The 9,479-nt window shown below is 40.1% G+C and overlaps 1 annotated feature.

The window, feature by feature from the left end:
• Window positions 8,165-8,800: an enhancer, noted in NCBI's record as "NANOG-H3K27ac-H3K4me1 hESC enhancer chr3:63718649-63719284 (GRCh37/hg19 assembly coordinates)". NCBI's record gives its function as "activates a minimal SCP1, AML or CMV promoter by ChIP-STARR-seq in naive H9 embryonic stem cells {active_cell/tissue: H9 hESC(naive)}" and the evidence as "EXISTENCE:reporter gene assay evidence [ECO:0000049][PMID:30033119]".

Genomic DNA, 9,479 nt, shown 5'->3' on the forward strand with positions numbered 1-9,479 from the left:
AAAGGAACTGTATCGCCCCTGTGCCTCATGGAAACTCTTTGCAACAATCTCACAGGTCAATCTGCCATTCTTGATGCAAACAGGCTCTCAAAGTTCAGCCCAAAGCACATTTATTAAAAGCTTTACCTTGAAAGATAGGAAAAGTTTGGTTTTATGAGAAAAGTTGTCATTCTATTACCTTGTAAATCCTATCAATTGATAGGTATTATGTAATGGCATTAACAGGCTCTGTGCTGACTACTGCGGATGCTGTTTTGAAGCTCCTGTACAGCTATTATATTATCAGTGGTGATTTCCTTCAGGATTCAGGATTCTAGGCAGAGCTAAGTGAGTCAGCATTAGCCCTCCCTCCCCAGGATTGCGAGGGTGTGAGGAGCGGTGTTGGGTGTGTGGGTGCTGGTGAGGCAGCCAGAAATGTGGTCAGCATACTTCACATTCCTAGCCTTGATTTACCCCCTCTGAAAATCAGAGTGGGGTTAGTCATAAGAAAAATCTCCCTCCTTCAGAAGGTTTCATTGTAAATGAAGGCACAGCAATCACCCCCCATCAAAAAAGAATGTAGAGATGCAAAAAATATAGGCTCAGCCTAAACTTATAAGTAGAACAAAGAGAGTTGCAAAACAATATCACAATATGATCCTACTTTCATCATAAAATGCATATTTCATATATTTATATTAAAGGAAAGTAATTCAGAAGATTGCTTTTCAAAATATAAATTATATTTATCATTAGATGGTAAAATTATGCATGATTTTTAATTTTTCTGCTCTTAGTTCACTCATAGTTTTGAATTTTCTTCAGTAGGTATGTATTACTTGTACAGAAAAGTAATGACTGAATATTTAAATAAGCCTGTGCACACATACATACACTCATATATGATCCCAAACATTCCAACAGTCTTTAAGTGCTAATTATTTTGGGAAGTGCCCATGAAACCCATTATTTCTTTAGCTTTTCAGTAAATGACTTTGGCCCTTTCAAGCTCACATAGTCCCAAGGACAGAAAATCTGCTGCCCTCAGTGCTATCAACAGCATGAGGAATGTAGCCTCCTGCAATGTGTAAACAGAAACCGCCACCCACCTGCAAGCCACTGGGGGTGAGGGGGCCTTCCCCAGGATGGAGATATGGGAGTCGGAGAGCTAGCCTGAGATTTGGCACAGCTGCCAGCAGCCTTGTTAGAAATTCAACATCCTTAACTAGGAAACAGGTTTTGGGGTAGGTTGCCAAAGAAGGTGTTAAACAGGTAATTGACCTTCTTCTGTTTTGGTGATGATTAATTCAAGTAGCCATTTCCCACTTTCTTGAGATAAGAGTTCAGATCAGGATCTAAGCCTGCCAAGTAGCATTTCAAAACATTCTAAGGGTTGCCAGGTGCAGTGGCTCACGCCTGTAATCCCAGCACTTTGGGAGGCTGAGGTGGGCAGATCACCTGAGGTCGGGAGTTCAAGACCAGCCTGACCAACATGGAGAAACCTTGTCTCTACTAAAACTACAGAATTAGCCGGGCATGGTGGCACATGCCTGTAATCCCAGCTACTCGGGAGGCTGAGGCAGGAGAATTGCTTGAACCCGGGAGGCGGAGGTTGCTGTAAGCCAAGATGGCGCCATTGCACTCCAGCCTGGGTAACAAGAGAGAAACTCCGTCTCAAAAAAAGAAACAAACAAACAAACATTCTAAGGGTTTAGATTACTTTACCAAGAGGCTGCTACTGCAGGCAGAACTCTTAGACCAGTGGTTATCAACCAGGTAGACTTTGCTTTTCAAGAGACTTTCGGCAATGCCTGAAGACAATTTTGGTTGTCACAACTGGTGGGAAGTGGGTGCTACTGGCAGCTGGTGGGTAGAGTCCGGGGATGCTGCTAAGCCTCCTACAAGGCACAGGACAGCCCACTACAACAGTCAGGCCAATGTTAATAGTGCCAAGGTTGAGAAACTGTATATTCGACAATGAAAGAAATTCTTCGATGCTTTGAAAGAAGGCCTACTTTTTTTTTTGCTAAAGTGAGCCATATCACTGGTATCTGGCTGTATTCCCCCCATTGGCCAACAGGCCAAAAGGAATTCTCTGAATGTTCTTAGTATCTTGTATCAGTGTATCACCTATCAGTGAACCCTCGCCTTAGGACAGGCAGGCAAAGTGAGCTTCCTTCTGCAAGCCAGCTCCAATCTGTTGGTAGTGACTTCTAGGATTGGTTCTCTGGAAGCAGATCTTGAGATGGTGTTTGAGGTAGGAGATGTTTATTAGGGATCAATGGTTGCAAAGGGAGAAGTTTTGGCAGAGGGAGAAGACAAACACAATTCAAGTCTGACAAAACCGCGGCCACCCTGGAGAAGAGCTCTGGAGCTGGTACTGGTATTTCCCATTAGAAGGAAGAGCTGGGTCTTTATAAACCCCCTCACCTAGCAGCCACCTGGCTCAGTCACTAGGTGAATGCTGTTCCAGGAGAGGCATGACTTTCAGTCAGGGAGTGCACTGTAGCTGAGGCTAAACTTAAAGTTGCTGACATCTGGAATGGCTGCTAACCACACTCCCTACAGCTGGACATCAAGGCCTTCCTTGAAAGGGAATCTGGATTTCACACCTTCACATATATACCACAGGGTGCATCCATACTCAGCAAATAGGCATGCTACAGCCCATTAGCAATGCCTGCCATGGTCCATGTGCAGAACAGCAGCATCTGTGCTAGGTATTTGGCAACCCTACATTAGAAACAGGGGCCAATGAGTAAGACCTATAATTGCAATATCATGGTGGTACCTGAAAATCAACTGGGTCTGGAAGAAAACCAAAAAGCAGGTATGCCAATGAGAAATGGAACCTGCCTGCCATCTAGTTAACTGTCTATCTATTGGGCTGGATTGAAAATGGAAGTGTTCCTTTGGTTTCTCATGATAAATTGCTTACCCTTCCTTTGTTTATTCCATGTCACTTATTACACACCCACTATGTGAAGAATTTGGCTTTTACCCAATTCATTAAATTTGTGCCCTCAGCCCCATGGGCTTCTTCAGTCTCTGCAGCCCTAACTAGAAAAGCCTAGTATTATAATAAGTGGCCTTTAAGAGTCGACCTAACCTTCTCTGCTAAGCATCCACACCACTAGCTTTGACTTCGGAAGGTAAGTAAGAAGAGGGTTTTGCCATACTTACGTTATTTTTGTGGATTAGATTAACATGGTCCAAAACTGTTGAGAAAGAGAGAATTATTTCCTTTTCTAGTAGGCAATCATTTGAAGATGCAGTGTTTTGTGTGAGGAGCTAGACAGCTCACACAGCTAATAACAAGAATAGTACTAGTGACTTGGGTTATTATAATAAATATAATTAATGACTTTTCAAACACTATTGGTTAGATGTTATGCTAATCATTTTAAATAAATTTATTACTGTGTTCCATGTTGATTTTTTAATTAAAATAAGAAGAGGGATTTTTTTTTAAAAAAAGTTAAATTGATAGTCTTTATCCACAAGCATTACCTGCAATCAGGTAGGTTGGTGCCTTTGAAGATACTGCATAATGTTAAATAAAGAACTGTGTAAACCTAATGTTATTATTCACTACAATAAACGCAAACTAAACCTGTTTTAGGTCCAATGGGACATCTAGACTGGCCCTACAGTCAGGTGCACTAGGAACAATGTGTGCAATATATCAAGAACACAATAAAACTGCCAATTTTTCCTATTTAAAGCGATCCACAGAGAGTTTAGATGATGAGCTAACAAAATGAGATGTTGTTAATTACATTCCTTGATAATTTTGATCCAAAAGGGATCATTTTGCTTTTTCCAACTGAAAGTAAATCATTTATTATAGATGAAGGAGTATAATTTTGGAGCTGGATGAAATATCATGTAACAATACTTCATGGAAGCCATTATGCATATGTCTCGGTCCATAGCAGCTTTATTTTCAACTGGTGAAAATATGCTGGTCTGGTCCAAGGAGCCTTCTTAATGAGGAAAAACCTAATGTTTTTGAAATATCTAGGTCAGATTTCAGAGTCAACTAGATTTCCCCTTTGCTTCAATTATATAATTCTAATGATTACTTTTGCTTCACAACAAAAAAAAAGCTGCCTGGTAGATAGTGAGCTTCCTATCTTGAGGATATTTAAGCAGACCTAGGATCAACACCGAAAACATTGTAGGAGAAAGTCATCTCAGTCTATCAAACAAGGATTTGGCTAGCAATATTTCAAAGGTAATTTATTTATTAATTCTACTAGGTATTTATCCAAAGGAAAAGAAAACAATATATCAAGGGGATACCGGCACTCACATGTTTATTGCAGGACTATTCCAATAGCAAAGATATGGAATCAACCTATGTGGCCATCAACGAACAAACTGATAAAGGAAATGTAGTACATATATACAATGGAATACTATTCCACCATAAAAAAGAATAAAGTCATATCATTTGTAGCAACACACAACACAGATGGAACCAGAGGTCAATATGTTAAGTGAAATAAGCCAGACACAGAAAGACAAATTTCACATGTGCTCACTCATCTGTGGGAGCTAAAACAATTGATTTCATGGAGGTAGAAAGTAGAATGATGTATACCATAGCCTGGGAAGGGTATGTGGGTGGGAGTGGGGATAAAGAGAGGCTGGTCAATGGGTGCAGACATACAGTTAGATAGAAGTAATAAGTTCTAATGTTCAATAGCAGACTAGGGTGACTATACTTAACAACAATGTATTATATATTTCAAAGTAGTGATGAGGACTTGAAATGTTTGCAACATGTAGAAATATTCAAGATGATGGATATTCCAAATACCTTGACTTGATCATTATACACTCTATGCAAGTAGCAAAATATCACATGTTCCTTATAAATATAAAAACTTTACACACAGTAAATATGTAAAAGAAAAGTGTTGAGCCTTTCTCTTGAGCCTAGCATTATGGGATGAAACTGTGTGTAAGTTGCAGCTCCTATCTTTAAGTAAAACACAGTCTAGTAATTCCTTTTAACTTTGAGATTCTATAACTTTATCTTAATAAAATTTATATCAGATCTCTATTTTCCACTTTTAAATATTTTCTTTAGGGACAATTTTTAAAATAATACTTCTTTGTGCTTTTTTAATATAAAGAGAAATGCAGGAACATATCATCTCACCTTTTTTCCTGGTGTAAGTTAGCTATTGCTATATAACAAAGAGGTGGCTCTGAACAGCCATTATTTATTATTGTAGTTCACTTGTCTGTGGGCCAGCTAAAGGATAGGTGATCTAGGATGGCCTGAGTTGGGCAGTTCTGTTCATCTTGGCTGGGCTCATGTATCTGCAGGTTGCCTGGAGATTTTGCTGTGGGTTAGGCTTGAATGGAGCAGCTCCAAATAGTATGTAGATAAGGACTGGAGAAAGTGATTGAAAAGCTATCACAATTTTCTTTCGTCTGAACCAAAAGGAACTTTAGGATCTGCACAGGAGAGCCTTACTGCGTAGATATGAAAGAGTCTCATTTTTGCGGAAGAGACTTAGATAGAGTTTACTCCATCACCTACCCCATTCCTCACAAAAAGAGTAGGACTTGACAGTTATAAGGTAAAGCTCCTCTGTCCCTGGAACTGAGACAGCAAGGAACACCCTGTTATTATGACAGATTTGATGGCCTGCCTCACTCCACCATCAATCCACACAGGGGAGTCAGAAGTGCCTCCACTCCTGCCTCAGAAAGATCCATCACGACTCAACCTCAGCCTCAAAGTAAACAAAGAAAAATGATAATTAATCCAAGGGAGCCAAGAGCCCCGAGGAAGAACAAATAAAACAATAAGAACAGACCGATACTGAAAAGGAACTGCTGGAAGAGACAGGCAAAAACTTCAATAAAAACAAAACAAGATGACCTAGATTCATATATAACATGCACTGGTGCATATCTTCCCCCCACACATAGACACACACACACAGACAGACATGTACACTTTTCTGGAACTAAAAACATGATTTGGGGCATCCAAATCAGTAAAGAGGAAGTCGAACTGTCACTATTTGCTGATGACATGATTGTATACCTAGAAAACTCTAAAGACTACTCTAAAAAGCTCCTAGAACTGGCAAATAAATTCAGCAAATTTTCAGAATACAAAATTAATGTATGCAAATCAGTAGCCCTGCTGTATACCAACAGCAACCAAACTGAGAATCAAATCAAGAAGTCAGCCCCTTTTACAATAGCTGCAAAAGAAAAATAAAACATTTAGGAATAAACTTCATCAAGGAGGTGAAAGATCTCTACAAGGAAAATTACAAAACACTGCTGAAAGAAATCATAGATGACCCAAACAAGTGGAAACATATCCCACGCTCATGGATGGGTAGAATCAATATTGTGAAAATGGCCATATTGCCAAAAGCAGTCTTCGAGTTCAATGCAATTCCCATCAAATTCCACCATCAATCTTCAAAGAACTAGAAAAAAAATCCTAAAATTCCTATGAAACTAAAAAAGAGCCCACATAACCAAAGCAAGACTAAGCAAAAAGAACAAACCTAGAGGCATTGCATTACCTGACTTCAAACTATGCTATAAGGCCATAGTCACCAAAACAGCATGGTATTGGTGTAAGAACAGGCACATAGACCAATGGATCAGAACAGAGAACCCAAAAATAAACCCAAATGCTTGCAGTCAACTGATCTTCAACAATAAAAACAAAAACATAAAGTGGAGAAAAGACACCCTATTCAACAAACAGTGCTAGGATAATTGGCAAGCCACGTGCAGAAGAATGAAACTGGATCCTCATCTCTCACCTTATACAAAAATCAACTCAAGATGAATCAAAGACTTAAATCTAAGACCTGAAGCCATAAAAATTCTAGAAGATAACATTAGAAAAACCCTTCTAGACACTGGCTTAAGGAAAGACATCATGACCAAGAACGCAAAAGCAAACACAACAAAAACAAAGATAAATAGATGGGACTTAATTAAACTAAAAGGCTTCTGCACAGCAACAGAAATAATCAGCAGAGTAAACAGACAACCCACAGAGTGGGAGAAAATCTTCACAATCTTTACATTTGACAAAAGACTAATATCCAGAATCTACAAGGAATTCAAACAAATTAGCAAGAATAAAACAAACAATCCCATCAAAAACTAGGCTAAGTACATGAACAGACAATTCTCAAAAGAAGATATACAAATGCCCAGCAAACATATGAGAAAATGCTCAAAATCACTAATGATCAGAGAAATGCAAATCAAAACCCCAATGTGATACCACCTTACTCCTGCAAGAACCGCCATAATCCAAAAATCAGAAAATTACAGATGTTGTTGGAGATGTGATGAAAACGAAACACTTTTACACTGTTGGTGGGAATGTAAACTAGTGCAACCACTATGGAAAACAGTATGGAGATTCCTTAAAAGAACTAAAAGTAAATCTACCATTTGATCCAGCAATCCCACTCCTGGGTATCTACTCAGAGGAAAAGAAGTCGTTATACAAAAAAGATACTTGCACACATATGTTTATAGCACCACAATTCGCAATTACGAACATATGGAACCAGCCCAAATGCCCATCAATCAACAAGTGGATAAAGAAAATTTTATATATACCATATATACTACTCAACCATACACAGTGGTGGCAAGGCTTATCTGCTACAAAGAAGACATGTTTTAGACAAATACTCATGTGTATAGGCACAACACTCAAGGACTGTATTTGTGACTAATCTTATAACAGGTTATTTTAGTTTCTTTTCTGTGGAAAGTATAAAGCATTCCAATAAAGAGTTTAATACAGATTTTTTTTTGCACCTATGCTGTTGACTGCTAAATGTAATAGTCTGATCAAGATGCTGAATAAATGTGTATTTTTAAAAATATATATTATTTTAAAACTTAAAACATCAGTAGATGAGCTGAAACTGAAGGTGGTCACCACTGATGAGACTCGAATTAGTGACTGAAGATCAAGTGAAAGAAATCTCTGAAATAGCAGAGCACAAATTTGATGGATTAGAAACTATGAGAGAAGAGAGAAGAGATCCAGTTACTAAATCCAGGAGACCCAAGAATCAGTTTCACAAGGAGAAAGAGACAGATGGAAGAGTCACACTAATTATACAAATTGGGGGATTAAAATACCCCAAGCAGTAGAGAGACCTGAACCTAGGTTCAATCTGATTTAAAAGAAGAGTCTCAGATCTGTATTAAAATTCCAGAACTCCAGGAATAAAGTATTTAAAAAGAAAACCACGCCCTAAATTATCACCACCAAAAAAATCCCTACTTATTTTATTAAGTATAGAAATAATATTTATACAAGGTTAGAAAATTCAATGATACGTAAAACTATGAAAGGGAAAGTAAAAATCTTACTTTATCCTCTGCATTTTCCTCCCCGAGACTTTTCTAGGAAAATGGAATCATTTAATAATGATTAATATAGTTTCCTGAATTTCTCACAGCCCTCTAAAGTTTATGCATGTAACATACATATACCTGGTGGGAGGAGCCAAGATGGCCGAATAGGAACAGCTCCGGTCTACAGCTCCCAGCCTGAGTGACGCAGAAGACGGGTGATTTCTGCATTTCCATCTGAGGTACCGGGTTCATATCACTAGGGATTGCCAGACAGTGGGCACAGGTCAGTGGGTGCGCGCAACGTGCGCGAGCCGAAGCAGGGAGAGGCATTGCCTCACTCGGGAAGCGCAAGGGGTCAGGGAGTTCCCTTTCCTAATCAAAGAAAGGGGTGACAGAAGGCACCTGGAGAATCGGCTCACTCCCACCCGAACACTGCGCTTTTCCGATGGGCTTAAAAAACAGTGCACCACGAGATTATATCCCGCACCTGGCTTGGAGGGTCCTACCCCACGGAGTCTCGCTGATTGCTGGCACAGCAGTCTGAGATCAAACTGCAAGGCGGCAGCGAGGCTGGGGGAGGGGCGCCCACCATTGCCCAGGCTTGCTAAGGTAAACAAAGCAGCCGGGAAGCTCGAACTGGGTGGAGCCCACCACAGCTCAAGGAAGCCTGCCTGCCTCTGTAGGCTCCATCTCTGGGGGCAGGGCACAGACAAACAAAAAGACAGGAGTAACCTCTGCAGACTTAAATGTCCCTGTCTGACAGCTTTGAAGAGAGCAGTGGTTCTCCCAGTATGCAGCTGGAGATCTGAGAATGGGCAGACTGCCTCCTCAAGTGGGTCCCTGACCCCTGACCCCCGAGCAGCCTAACTGGGAGGCACCCACCAGCAGGGGCACACTGACACCTCACACTGCAGGGTATTCCAACAGACCTGCAGCTGAGGGTCCTGTCTGTTAGAAGGAAAACTAACAAACAGAAAGGACATCCACACCAAAAACCCATCTGTACATCACCATCATCGAAGACCAAAAGTAGATAAAACCACAAAGATGGGGAAAAAACAGAAGAGAAAAACTGGAAACTCTAAAAATCAGAGCGCCTCTCCTCCTCCAAAGGAACA

Source organism: Homo sapiens, chromosome 3 (assembly GCF_000001405.40).
Source record: "Homo sapiens chromosome 3, GRCh38.p14 Primary Assembly".
In the NCBI taxonomy this organism is placed as follows: Eukaryota; Metazoa; Chordata; class Mammalia; order Primates; family Hominidae; genus Homo; species Homo sapiens.